Raw genomic sequence first — 14094 nt, 5'->3', positions numbered from 1 at the left:
GAAGGCCAACTTCTGGCAGAATTCCCTCTTCTTCATGGGGAGGTCAATCTTTTTCACAAGGCTTTCAGTTGATTGGAAGAGGCCCACCCACATGATGGAGATAATCTGCTTTTCTCAAAGTCTCCTGATTTAAATATTAATCTCATCTAAAAAATACCTTCACAACAATATCCAGGCATGTTTGACCAAATATCTGGGTCCCATGGCCTAGCCAAGCTGACACATAAAATTAACCCTCACACTAGCAAATGTGAGAGCATCATTAATTTTCCAAATGAAGGCACTTTCTCTGAGGATACTTCTCATGGGCTCTGAGCAGGCAGTCCTGGACCCGTGGAAAAGGGGGTAGCTTTCCTGAGAGTGTGGGACTCAGTTTATGTCCAGCATATTTTTCTTTACTCACTTGGTTCAATATGATGAATGCTATTTTATAGTACCACTCCTTTCAGTCTAGTGAAAAGAGGTGATTAAGAGGAAAAGCAGAGGGTGGAGATAAGCTGGGCATTAGGTTCTATTTGACATGAAATTAATTAGTTAATCCTGGGCTCCTTACCATGGAGATTTACAAAGTATCTCTATTTCAGGACTGGTTCAAATGTCTCCCATTTTGTGACTCTTTCACCAACTCCTCAAAGCCATACCCCTCCTGTAGGCTCTTGTGGTACTTTTTTTTGTCAGGTGGAAATCTGTATGGTGGTGTCTGGTGAGTGAAAGCAGAGACAAGTGACAGGGACATCAAACCCTGTGAATGTTGGTGGAGTGAGGGCCGAGGCAGAGCTAGAGTTGCTCAGGAGAGCTTCAGGGATAAAGAGGAATGTTATGTGCCAACCAGGGAAAAAGAAATGGAGAGTATTTAATGATCATGAACATATATACACCTAACAATATAGCATCGGAATTTATAATACAACAATAGACAGAATTACAGAGAGAAATGGAACAGAATAGAGAGCTCAGAAACATACGCACTCACACAAACACACACAAATTGTAGGCAATGTTGGTAAAACTGTCTACTATATGGAGAAAAAGCAGGGTAAGACCTGGACCCAAGTACTTAAAATATGTCTAAATGTATTAAAGATCAAAAACTGAAAGGAAGAATTATAAAGCTAATAAAATATCAGGTCCAGGGGAAAAACAGAATATCTAAGGGCTTGGTAAAACATAATTTTAACATACATCTAGAAAACTTGGGTATTCAAAAGACTCATAGATAAACTCATGAGAAAAGGAAGAAGGACAGAACACAAAAATATGCAACATTAAATATGAGAAAACAGAATTGCAGATGCAGAAGAGATTTATTTTAAGGACATTTTATGTTAATTATTTGTTAATAAATTTGAAAATTTGGAGGAAGTAGGTGATTTTCCAGAAAACTATGTCATCACTATTATCTCATGAAAGAGTAAAAAACCAGAATAAACCAATAATCATAACAGAAATATGAAAGTTTAAAGCATTTACCACCTGAAGAGTCCCCAGCTGGAATTGAAATGTAGAGTGTATATTAGCTATTTTTATGGGATCAACGATATTTTTCTTAGATGTGATAATCTTATTGTAGAAATTTGGAGTGTCCTTATTTTGAGGTGACAGTGCAGAGATATCTAAGAGTGAAAATCATGTTAATAATTTACATCTAAATGATTCAACAACAAAAAAGAGTTTACATGGGCACATGTAGACATGAGAGAGAAAGCAAATGTGACAAAGTAGTAACTAGCAGTGCATTGGGGTGAAGAGTGTTTGTCAAATTTTCTGTAGGCTGGAAAAGTGTTTTAAATGTTGCAAGGTGAAGAAGGCTCAAAAGTTTTCACAAACGAGTTCCAGTTTATCTTTAAGAAACAAATTTTATTAGCCAAAATATTCTAGACCATATAAAAGCATGAAAAGCACTCCAATTAATTTTATAAAGCTAGCATAATCTTAGTATCAGCCCACAGTCAAGATAATGAGTTCATTCACTGATTGGTTACACATTTATTGAATGGCAGGCACTGAAGATACAAGGCTGAACCTAAAGAAGCATGGTCTGGGCCACCTGGAGCTTCCAGTCTGGGCAAAAACACACACAATGATCACCTAAACAAGGGATGAAAACCACCACCCTGAAGTAGGGGCAGCACATAGTGCAGTGAGAGCTCCTAATGGGGTGGCTTTCCGCAGAGGAGTTAATTGGGATGGGGACAGAGGAAGGGTGTTCAGGGAGAGGGCCCAGCCTGGGGGCAGCCTTGGTAGGCGGAAGCTCATCATGGATGCGTGCCTGGGAGACCCTAGTGGCTGCAGCATAAAAGGGAGGGCAGGTGCAGGGCTGAAATTGCAGCTGGGTGGCAGGCGAGACCACTCCAGGGCCCTATAGGTCACATCCTGGAATGTCGTCTTTATTCTGGGGGCAACCAGAAGTCCTTGAAGGGAGTTCTGGCCTAACCAGTTCTGGGTTTTGCAGAGACTGCTCTGAATAGATCCAGGGGACCTGAAGGAGATGTGGGAGACTATTGGGCAGTGAAGGCTATGGGCAACGAAAGTGGCTGGACCAGGAAGGTGGCCAGGAAGGAGAGCAGGAGTGCTTGAGGTTAAACTCAGTGGGTCTTTCTGAGAGAGATGCCAAGGATGACTTGAGGATTTCTAGCCTGAACCCGTGGATGGGGGGTCATTTTTGAGATGGGAAACATTTCCCACCTCAGTGGAGAGGGGTGGGCTGTGGCACCCATTTCTTAATCTCTGCATTTAGGGAAGACCAAAGCCTGAGGGGACTGCCTGGAAACAGCACTAAGAAGAGAAGAATGTGTATAAAGGCGACATCAGACTGAACTCAGCAGTATATTAAAAGAAAAATGCATCCTCACTCTGTGTAATCTATTCCAGGAATGTAAGGAGGTTCAGCATTAGGAAAGCAATACTTGTAATTAATTCCATTAACAACTAAAATTGGAAATGTGAAACCATATCAACTGATGTGCAACAGCATTTAAGAAAATTCAGCAGCCATTCCTACTCTGAGAGGAAAAGAGGGAAAATTCTTTAATATGTTAATGACTACCAAACCCCACAGCCATTACCATTGAAATTTGGAATGAAATAAGAAGTCTACTATTGCCACTATTTTCAACATTTGTTTTGAAGGCTCTAGTTCATGCTATAAAATAAGAAAACAAATCTATTGGTACACATAGTAAAACTGAAGAGGAAAATTATTTATCCTAGAAAAACAAGAGATTCTAAAATCACATAGTAACTTCAAGGTTGCTAGATATAACTATAAAAAATGAAACAATTTTCTTTATACAAGCAATAACCAATTACAAATAGAAATGGGGGAATATGTTTACAATAATGATGAAATCACAAAGAAATTTATAGGAAGAACTTTACAGAGAAAATACAGGACCTCTACAGTCATAACTATAATTTAAAAAAATAATTGAAGATTGGAATAAACATATCTTCAGCGGGAAGACTTCATATCATAAAAATGTCCACCATTCTCAAATTAATCTATGGAGGTATTGCCATTCTAATAGGTATTTCTATAGTGTTTTTTCCTTGTTTGATTTTGATTTGGGAGGTGCAGATGGAAACCAATAATTTTTAAAGTCCATGTGGAAGAGTAAGTATGTTATAATTTCTAACACATTTTTGAAAAGGGAAACTAATGCATATATTATCAGTATGAACCCTTACTATAAATACTGTTATTAAAATAATATAATGCTGGCAAAGGAAATTGACAGAGATAAATAGAGCCAAGATTAATGGAATAGAGCCAAGATTAATGGAATAGATCCAAGTATATATAGAAGCCTAATTAATCATAAATGTGACATTTCAAGGTGGTGGGAAAGAAGTATGTAATAAATGGAATGTGCATAATGACTTTCTGGAAACAGAGTTAGATTCACTGCACTCCATATGCAAAATCACATTCCAGATGGAAGAGAGATCTAAATAGACACATACAATTCAATAGCAAAAAAGTCTAAAAATTGTAATTCAAAAATTGTCTCCAAGTTTAGTGAGCATTAGAATAAAAATTGTATTTTAAGACCCATAAAGTCTCAAAGAAAATATTGCTGACTAAATGAACATTTTAAACACCTGGCAAAATGACAAGGTAAAACAAAGCATCCAAAAAAGGGAAGCAGGCCAGGCGTGGCGGCTCATGCCTGTAATCCCAGCACTTTGGGAGGGCGTGGTGGCTCACACCTGTAATCCCAGCACTTTGGGAGGCCAAGGCAGGTGGATTACTTGAGCTCAGGCATTCAAGACCAGCCTGGGCAACATGGCGAAACCCCATCTCTAAACACACACACACACACACACACACACACACACACACACACACACACACACACACACAGAAGCAATCAGGATAAAGCAGACAAAGGGTAATACCCTACTATTTAAGGATCTCTTCAAAAGAAAAAAAAAATAAATGGGAACCCTAATGTAATGGGTCAAGGGTCAGATTCTAGTGTTAGATTTTAAGAGCCAAAATTTCCTCTCCTTGGAGGTCAAGATTAATAATTATGTTGTTCTTAGTCATATAAAAGACCTACAGTATTTCTTGTTTGAAAAAAAAGAGAACTCTTTATGTGAGAAAATAATCTCTTATTCTCTTATTAAATAACTAATGAGATCTAAATGACTTTCAAATTGGAATTCTAGCCTGCATTTTCTGGAGACAATGGACCTCACTTGTGCCTGGTCAGTTGACTCAGTGACTGATGGAGCCAACTGCTCAATGATGGGGAGCCCAGCCTTGGATGGCCTGGCCCAACAGCATATAACCCCAGTGTATTAGTTCATTCTCACACTGCTATAAAGAACTACCTGAGACTGGGTAATCTATGAAGAGGTTTATTTGACTCACAGTTCCACAGGCTTAACAGGAAGCATGAATGGAAGGCCTCAGGAAACTTACAATCATGGTGGAAGGTGAAGGGGAAGCAAGCACGTCTTACCACGGTGGAGCAGGAGAGAGAGAGCAAGGGAGGGAAGCACCACACACTTTTAAACCATCAGCTCTCCTGAGAACTCACTCACTACCACGGGAAAAGCACGGGGGAAATCCACCATCATGATTCAGTCACCTCCCACCAGGTCCCTCCTCTAACACTGGGAATTATAATTCAACATGAGATTTGGGTGGAGACTCAGAGCCAGGCCATATCACCCAGAGAGTTGGCTAATGCTCATTGTCCAGGCTTGCCAAGTACTCCCCAGTCTATCTAAACTCATTGTCAAACACCACGTGTGTGCCTTCTCTTTTTTTTAGATACCTTTTCAAATGTCATACAACAGTGGTCATTATATACCAAGTGATGGTGTATCCTGGAAGAATTTTTGTGTCTTTAAATTATTAAAAACCAGCCTGGGCAGCATAGTGATGCTATTTCTACAAAAAAATTAAAAATTAGCTGGGTATGGTGGTATGTGCCTCTCTGGTCCCAGCTACTTGGGAGGCTAAGGCAGGAGGATCACTTGAGGCCAGGAGTTCCAGGCTGCAGTGAGCCATGATCTTGCCACTACACTCCAGCCTGGTGACAGAGCAAGACACTATCTCTAAAAAAGACAACAAAAACCAAAATACAAAGTCCTTCTGGGGTTCATAGATCACAGAAGTGATGGTTTAGTTTAATAAAACACAAAACTGGAGGAGTGAATGTAAGAGTGTTATTTTTGTAACATAAAGTTATCATTTTCAGTTTCTCTTTGAGCTCTGTTCCTTGTTTTCTTGGAGAATGCATTGTTCCCTGGTTGGGGCATGTTGAATATTTAAAGACATGGACACACTTCACAGCCGCCTTTGGCCAAACAATGACACGCTAAGGGTTACTTCTGCAGCTTGATGAAGCCCGTGATGACCTCCTGGGGTTTGTTACTGATCTGACTTGATTAACAACCTGTGTCCTTAGAGGATAGATGGAGCCCTCCTCCTCTTCTATTGATCGTCTCTGTTTCCCTTGAAGCAGACAAATTGAGTGACAGCCTGCACCAGGATGTGTTTGGGGGAAGTTCTTGGAACATTTTCTCTTTTGTCGTTTGGAGGCAGAGTTAGCAGACCTGGGATGGGCTGCCGTTCCTTCCTATGCTGTGAGGGCCTGGTGCCCCGTGAATTCCCTTGTTAACAATGCAGCACTTACCCAACCTGCTTCTCGGGAGTGAAGCTCAGTTCTGATGTCTGATGTTATGGCAGGGACATGCTTTCTTCTTTGCACATGCATTTCTCTTAGTGGGTTCTGGGGATTCGTCTCCATGAGACTTTGATACACATGATGTGGAGGATTTCTCTCTTTTCTTTTCCTCTTTCTTTCTTGCTTAGTCTATTTTCACACCGCTATAAAGAACTACCTGAGACTGGGTAATTTACGAAGAAAAGAGGTTTAATTGACTCACAGTTCCACAGGCTTAACGGGAAACATGGCTAGGAGACCTCAGGAATCTTACAATCATGGCGGAAGGTGAAGGGGAAGCCAGCACATCTTACCAAGGTGGAGCAGGAGAGAGAGAGAGAGAGCAAAGGGGAATGCCCTATACCTTTGAAGAAACAGATCTCATGAGAATTCCATCATGAGACAGCACAAGACGGATGGTGCTAAAGCATTGGAAACCACCCCCATGATCCAATCACCTCCCACCAGGCCCCTTCTTCAACATGTGGGAATTGCAATTTGACATGAGATTTGGGTGGGGACTCCTTCCCCTCCCCTCCCCTCCCCTGCCTCCCTCCCTCCTCCCCTCCCTTGCTTCTTTCCTTCCTTCCTTCCTTCCTCTTTCTTTCTCTCTCGACAGTCTTCCTCTGTCTCCCAGGCTGGAGTGCAGTGGTATGATCATGGCTCACGGCAACCTCCACCTCCTGGGCTCAAGTGATCCTTCAATCTCAGCCTCCTGAGTAGCTGGCACTATAGGTGCACACCATCACGTCCAGCCAATTTTTAGAATTTTTTGTAGACATGGAGGCTCACTATGTTGTCACTGTTGGTCTTGAACTCCTCGGTTCAAGCAATCTTCCCAGTTCGGCCTCACAAACTGCTAGGATTTCAGGCGGGTGCCACCTCGCCCAGCCTAAGCAGGCTTCTGATCACTGATGTCTCAGAGCTCCGCGTGGGTGAGCCAAGCTTGTGTCCCTGAGGAAGGGGCTGTGGAGTCCACCTGCAAATGCACCTGCTTTTTCTCATCGAGCATTTTGGAGCTGGTGTTCCCTGGGTCGTGGTTCCAGAAATGCTGATTTAGGTACGTTATAGCTATCACTTAATTTATAGGACAGCCCTACCACATGTGTCCTCCTAGGCACATTTTACAGACGTGGAAGTTAAACCTTGGAGAATGTAAGTGACTTGTCCAGGGTCACACAGGGAGCTGTAGAGGAGGGAACTCTGAGCTTTCCTCCTGCGCTCAGCACATCTTTGTGAAGTTTCGTATGTGAGGAGGATTTCCACTGGCTCACCCTTAGTTATCTTTGAGGCTATTACTAGTGCTACTGCATCAAATGTAACATAAGAAAAATTTTGCCGGAAGGGTTCAAGGCAGCTTAATTGTGATTGTTTAAATTAGCTCTGGAGTGCCACCTGCCCATCATTTGGGGGGAGTCCCCATCCCCTCAGGGGCGTGGTCTCAGAGGCCACTGTGACCCGCAGCTGGCCTGGGAGCGGCCTGGCCCAGGACAAAGTTCTCATGGATTGGGACACAAAAGAGGAAGACTCCATTTATTCCATTTACACAACGATCAGGCCTTTCGCTCCTCTGAGGAACCACGTCGTCCCTCATTAGGTTAGGGTTGTCAGGAATGGTGCTATGTGGAGCGTTTCCAGCTGCTGAGCCCCAGTGGGGTGGGGAGCCCACTCAGGAAGCCTCTGTCCTGGCACTGCATGCCCACCGGAGCTGGCAGGGGGTCCTGGGGGGTGAGGGAGACACACCCCACCCCAGGGCTCACTTGGGTGCTGGAAGAGGAGTCACATATAATGGGAGACCTTCAACCTCCCTTCATATGATGCCAGTTAACTCAAGCCTCATAAATAGGACTACGAATTAATATCTGTGAATTAATATTAACTATGAATTAATATCCCTGGGGGCAGGGCCGGGTAAAAGAGGAAGCGAGAGGGAGACAGAATGAGCCTGTCCCATCGCAGGGGCTGTTTATGGGAAGAGCCTCCAGAGCCCCAGGAGCTCTCTGTGCCTCCCCACTTTCTCCCTCTCCCTCTAGGTCTTTCCCCAGTCTCTGTCCCTCTCTTCGGCCCCTTTCTCCTTCCCTCCCTCCATCTCTGTCTCTCTCCACAAGCCCTAATGACAGGGTCTATGCTCTTGGAAAACTCATTGTGTCAGAGGTCCCAGAGTGGGGGCTTCCTTCTGAAACTAGCAGGAGTGTGTGCACTTTGTGGGCCTGTGAACCAGGGAAAGCCATCGGCCTCAGACCAGTTTGCCAGGGCCTCCACACCAGGCACAGAAACGCAGCACCCAGTTGCGTTGGAGATTTCTGCAAGAATGCTGCGTTCAGTGCTGTTTGGAGAGGGTAGGGGGGCAGGGCACTTTTGTAAAAAGAATACTTCTAGTTAATAGCTGCTCCCCTCGAGTGGCATGCCCATTGCAGTGTCGAGAGGTCAGATGCGAGGGTCCTCGGCTCTGGATGAGTGACCATGGCCGTGCCCCTTCCCTGAGGGACACTCACCCACTCCTTCTCATTAGCTGTTCCCTTTAAGGACCGACTTCCCTCCAGAGGGAAATTCCTGAAACCCAACAGTTGACAAACCCACACACCCTCGGGAGGGCTGGGCACCAGATAAAAAGCCCTCCGAGGGAGCCCAGCCCCTCCTGGGGATGGACGGCCGCTGCCGCCGGGGGACCCAGCAGAGCCCGGGACCTGCCGCCTAGACCCCCAGCAGAGCCTGGGATCTGCCTCCAGGACCACCCCCCACCCCCCGCAGAGCACAGGACCTACCTCTGGGACCCCCCCTCCCCACCACAGCAGAGCCCCGACCTGCCTCTAGGACCCCCTAGCAGAGCCCCGACCTGCCTCTGGGACCCTCCAGCAGACTGTGGGGACCTGCTGCCCAAACCCCCAGCCAGAGTGCACCCGCCCCACCCGCTCCCGGCCTGCCATGGTCGCCTGTGCCCCTGGTCCTAAAAGGCGGTGAGCCCAGGGAGCCTGCGCCTGAGGGAAACGGGTCTCCTAAGTTTCTCTGGCTTGTTCTCAGCTCTCCGCAGCACGATCTATTTCTGTCTTTCCTTTTGGAAAGTGTGCTTTGCCAGCGACTAATCCCAGGCCGGGCCGAGATTGTTATCACCTGTCACCTGCACGCAGGGCCCAAGCCCATCAGGGAAATGAAGAGATAAACCAGCGGCTGCAGCCCAACCTGCCAGGGGCCACCTGCCTCCCGCAGGCAGCAACCAGAAGCTTCCCCACTGCGACCGCCAGGGCCACCTCTGTCCCCGCCTTAGGCCGCTGGCATGTGGCCGTCGCAGTGACCCCCGGGGGCCCCGCGGCCGCCCCTGGAAAGGCTGACGCAGACGTCTGAGGAGCAGCCACTTCCCTGCAGGCTGAGCGGAGCCCTGGATGGAGCTTGGCACCCAAGCCCCTCATGTCTGCCCTGCTGAGTCTGTGTTTTGTGCTGCCCCTGGCGGCCCCCGGCCACGGCACGCAGGGTTGGGAGCCCTGCACAGGTAAGGCAGGGGCATGGGAACTCGGGCGGGGGTATCTTGCCGGGGAGCTGGGAGGGGTGTCGAGTCACAAATGCCACTTTCTAACACTGATTCAAGCCGCGGTGCCCGAGGACGCTTTGGCAGGACTGGCAGGTAGCACCCTGTGGAGATGGGCAGAGGCGGGAGGAGCACAGGTGGGGAAGATGAAAGCGCAGGGCAGGCAGTTGCAATAGAAACGCGGCTCTTTAGAACGCACGCAGGGTGGGGACGAGCTTCAAGAGCTAACCAGCAGCCACCGGGGCCTCCACAAGTGCTTACCTGCTGGGCCTCCCGGGAAAGGCTGACACCTGCTTTGGGAATGAAGAATGAAGTCGCAGCAGCCCGGGAGGCTACTGTGCACGAGCCATTTCCTTAGCTGGTGGAGGTGCCCCCAGCCTGCACTCAGCAAAGCGAAGGGCCACACCGGCCCTGCTCCTTCCCCACATGAGCAAAAAGCTGGAGACACAGACACAGCCCCAAACACAACCACCTCTGGAGTGAAGGGCTCGGTTCTTTGGGGCGTAATCTGGTCTGAGTGGAGAGCCCTGGGCTGGCTCACTGGGGGGTCCTGGCGAAGCCTGGGGGTCTCCTTCCCACCTTTTAGAAAGGCTGTTTGGCTTGCTCATGACCATGACACGCTAATACTTTTCTAGAGTTTCTACTGAGGGATTTTACTTATCAAACCAAAATTTAATAAAGTAACACGACAACTAGACCTGGTCGCTAGAAACTCAGTTACTGGACAGTAAATTAGTGACTCCAGCACTCAGGCTCCGCAGCACGGCTATCAGGGGAGGCGAGGAGATGGCTTGCGCTTCTGGTTTTGTTTGCAAATCATGCATCCTTGGTTCCCTGGAATAGATGAAGTCCACCCCCGGCACCGGGCCACAGCTCTCTGCTCGGATGGCACTCAGATCCCGATGACATGACCAGGGGATGAGCACGATCACCCGAGTATGGAACGTGCTGACTCGCGTGGGGGGTGGGGGTGGGGGTGGGGGTCATAAACGTGCCTGCCCACCCAGGGACGGATGGCTGTGCCTCCAGGACAGCCCTCGGGCTGTGCAGTGGGAGGTAGGTAGACCTTCCGTGCTGGAACCATTACTGCCTGGGTGTTGGGGACAGGACTGAAGCTCCCGCACAGCTGCACCTGCCCGCAGGGACTGCCTTGGAACTGGGTGATTCTGCAAACAATACGAGAGCCAAGTCAGCTTGTCGCAGAGCAAAATCCCCTGGCTTCACGCGATGGAGGGCGCAGCGCCAGCCTTTCTCCCTCCCCTGCTCGAGGACCCCGGGGCAGCTGAGAGACTCCTCAGCACACCCTGGAGTGGGGGTGGGGGGGCATGAGTCACAGACATGTATTTTCATGTTCCCTTTAGCTCAGGGAACAGAATCAACCTGCATAATAATAATACAGGTTATTTATAAAGCCCTCCCCCTCTCCCCTGAAGCTACGTTGCAAATAGTTAAAAGATGACCCAGTTATAAATACCACGAACCAGGGAGGAAAGATAAAAGTCAAGTAAGTAATATTGAGCTGCATTTGGAACGCTCCCAAGAGACTAGCATAAGGGCCAGCCAGGGCTTCAGATCGTTCTGTAGAAGTCACCTTGGTTCCATTCCGTTTTGGGAAGCACAGGCGCGCGCTCGCTCTGTAGGCTTCTGTGGGATTCCGCCTTAGCGTGGGCCCCGCTGGCTGGGGCTGTGTCGCTGTGCGCGTGAAGGCACCGGGCCGTGGCTGCGCCGTCTCAGCTTTCTCATCCTGCTCCCTGAGTCTGTGCCCACGGCGTGGAGCCGCGGCGGGTGGTTGACCCGCAGGTCACAGGCGGTCGCGAGGCTGGGGGTTCGGGTCTGCCACGGGGCCCATGCGCCTTCTCTGGAGTTGTCAGGAGGGGAACCTGCTTTGATTTTCGGCGCTCATTCCCCTCTCGTCTCTCGCTTTCTAGGACTCATTTGGCTATTCAAGTGACTGCCAGGCTTTGGGGAAGTTGTGGGCTGGGATTTTCAGGCGGCTCCAGCCCCGTGGGCAGCAAGGGAGGACAAGCCTGTGTTTTTACACCACACAGTAGGAAGCCTCAGTGCGAAGGGCGATTGCAGGGACCCTTCCGATTCTTGTAAGGAGCCTGTGGTCCGGGCTGCGTGATGCTGCGGACCCAGGAGAGTGGGCTGCGCCCTAGGCTCGGCACCCCTCATTCAGAGCAACCCACTTCACCTCCATGTGGACAGGAGATCAAGGCAGGAGATCCCGTGGGAGCCATCTGAGGACCCAGTGGGCGGGGTCACTGGTGGGCTCTGGGGGGCTGGGTGGGAGGCTGGGAGGCTGGGAGTGCGGGAGCTGCAGGATGCGAGGGCGGCCACGTCTCTTTCCATTGCCTCTCCCTGTCCTGAGTGTTACCCCAGGAACCGTCAGCGGTGGGGACCGGTCACGCGGGACCCTGCTCAGTGAGGCCTCAGCCCCTGAGCTACCTGGCTCTCCTCATTCACTCCCCTTCCCCCTACGTTTGCTCAGCATCCACGCCAGGAAAGGCCGTGCCCCCACCCGGGATGTGGCAGCCACAGGCCAGGGCCCCTGCCCACACGGAGCTGGCAACTTGGCCAAACTGCAGCTCTGCCCGGAGCAAGTGCTGTGAGGTCCCGCGGGCTGTGCCTGCCCTGCAGGTGTCCAGGAGGGCCTCAGGGAGCAGCATTCGGGGAGGGGACTGCAGGAAGGCTGTCAGCTGGTGGAGAGACCCCAGGGTGGGCTGAGGGAGGAATGAGGGTGGTCAGGTCTCTGGGCCTGGGGACGGGCAGTGTGCATCCCAGGAGCTGGAGAAGGCACTGAGGAAATAAATGATGGCGCAGATTTGCATCTTAAAAGATCACTGGGGTGTGGAGGCTGCTGGCTGGAGCCTCTTTGCAATAGGAGGTTGGGGGAGGTTTTCCAGCCCAGCCCTCCTACTTCCACTGGTGCTCCCAGGAGCTCTGCCCTCAACCTCTGTCCTCTGGACTTCAGCGCCTAAGGGAGTGTGAGTGCTGGGGAGTCCTGGTCCTTGGCGAGGTCTCCAAGTCCGCTCCTGGAAGGCTGTGTGCCAGCGACACCTTCTCTTGGCTGCGTGTGCATGACCAAAGCCCTTAGAGTGTCCTGCAGTTAGGAAGTGTGCCCATTCCTGACCCCGCAGCCCAGTCCTCTGTCCAGGGGGCCCAGCTCCCCACTCAGACCAGGAGCCTGCAGTCCCCCCTGCTGGGGGCTGGGGGAGGGATCTGAGCTCCAGCCTGTTACCCCCAATGCATGCATGCACGGGTTACCCCCAGCGCACACTTGCACTCCCTCTCTCTCCCGTCCTCTCTCGCTCGCTCTCTCTCATATCTCTGTCGCCTCGTGCTGTGTGGTGTGTGTGTGTGTGTGTGTGTGTGTGTGTGTGTGTGTGCACGCGCGGGGCGGGGAGGGGGGGAATCGGGGGGCACAGGCTAGGCAGCCAGGAGGGATGTGTGTGACCCCCAGGGCTCCGGGAAGGGTGGGGGACCGAGGCTGAGGGACACACTGGGAACAGACTGTCCAGTCCACTCCAATGGGCCTAGGGCTTGTGGCATTTTTCTATCATGTTTATTTACTGAATCCATTCATGTTCTGAAATGAATGACCGCCACCTATAGAGAATCAGAGGCTTAGCCGCCTCACCCATCACCTTTGTCTCTCAGAAAACAAATCTCAGAGTTAAGGACCCCCTCATTCCCTGCTCCGAGCCAGGCGGTCACTCTGGGACTCCTGAAGCGCAAATTGTCAGTGGCCACGCCTTTCCTTTTATAAAATTCTAAACTATAAGGCCAGGGCTTTTCCCCCGCTCCGCCCCCATGGTCATCAGGAAATAAAGAATGTTTAGCTTTAGGGCTGAGCCCCACACACTCTATTGGACACTACGGTTCCGCTCCAGACAAGCCAAGGGTCTCCAGCCTCTCTGGTTCCAGGATAACGAGCCGCACACGAGGGCCCCGACGGGTCTGGACTAGGTTCCCATCTGAACGCCCCTCCTCTGCCCCTCCCTGCGCCCCGCAGCTGCGTGGCCTCGGCCTCCGCCTCTGCCACTACCCCTCACCCTTCCGACCCTGTGTCCTCTCTCCCCGCACCCCCCCCCACCCCGCGTCCTTTCCCCACCCCCATCTTCCTGGTGGAGACCTTGGTGTTGCGGTGGGGGCAGGGGTGGAGCGGCAGGAGTGGGGAGGGCAGGTGCGGTCCTCCTGGCTGTCACCCCCGTCCTAATCCCAAATCCGCGTCCAGTGGGCTTCGCGCCCTGATCGCCTGGGCTGGGGCTAGGGGTGCTCGCCCAACCCCACACAACTGATAAATGGAGGCGACCCCACGGGATTCCTCACTGATCCCACAACCCCCAACTGATGCCGGCGCCAATTCCGCTAGGAAAGCCGGGCAGGGGC

At 50.2% G+C, this 14094-nt stretch overlaps 1 protein-coding gene across 2 annotated transcripts in view, besides 3 other annotated features; it reads left to right on the top strand.

Annotated features, from left to right (window-relative positions):
• Window positions 9527–14094, top strand: part of TSPEAR (thrombospondin type laminin G domain and EAR repeats) — a 213680-nt gene continuing 209112 nt past the window's right edge. For both annotated transcript variants that reach the window (NM_144991.3, NM_001272037.2), the window contains exon 1: window positions 9527–9666. In NM_144991.3, the coding sequence (NP_659428.2) occupies window positions 9585–9666 (82 nt within the window). In that variant the 5' untranslated portion in view covers window positions 9527–9584. The remainder of the gene's footprint in view (window positions 9667–14094) is intronic.
• Window positions 9567–10337: an enhancer, noted in NCBI's record as "H3K4me1 hESC enhancer chr21:46130677-46131447 (GRCh37/hg19 assembly coordinates)". NCBI's record gives its function as "activates a minimal SCP1, AML or CMV promoter by ChIP-STARR-seq in naive H9 embryonic stem cells {active_cell/tissue: H9 hESC(naive)}" and the evidence as "EXISTENCE:reporter gene assay evidence [ECO:0000049][PMID:30033119]".
• Window positions 10351–11091: an enhancer, noted in NCBI's record as "H3K27ac-H3K4me1 hESC enhancer chr21:46129923-46130663 (GRCh37/hg19 assembly coordinates)". NCBI's record gives its function as "activates a minimal SCP1, AML or CMV promoter by ChIP-STARR-seq in primed H9 embryonic stem cells {active_cell/tissue: H9 hESC(primed)}" and the evidence as "EXISTENCE:reporter gene assay evidence [ECO:0000049][PMID:30033119]".
• Window positions 11092–11832: an enhancer, noted in NCBI's record as "H3K27ac-H3K4me1 hESC enhancer chr21:46129182-46129922 (GRCh37/hg19 assembly coordinates)". NCBI's record gives its function as "activates a minimal SCP1, AML or CMV promoter by ChIP-STARR-seq in primed H9 embryonic stem cells {active_cell/tissue: H9 hESC(primed)}" and the evidence as "EXISTENCE:reporter gene assay evidence [ECO:0000049][PMID:30033119]".

Source organism: Homo sapiens, chromosome 21 (assembly GCF_000001405.40).
Source record: "Homo sapiens chromosome 21, GRCh38.p14 Primary Assembly".
Lineage (NCBI taxonomy): Eukaryota > Metazoa > Chordata > Mammalia > Primates > Hominidae > Homo > Homo sapiens.
The sequence above is the reverse complement of the archived record's forward strand: the minus strand, read 5'-3'. Positions and strand labels throughout refer to the sequence as shown.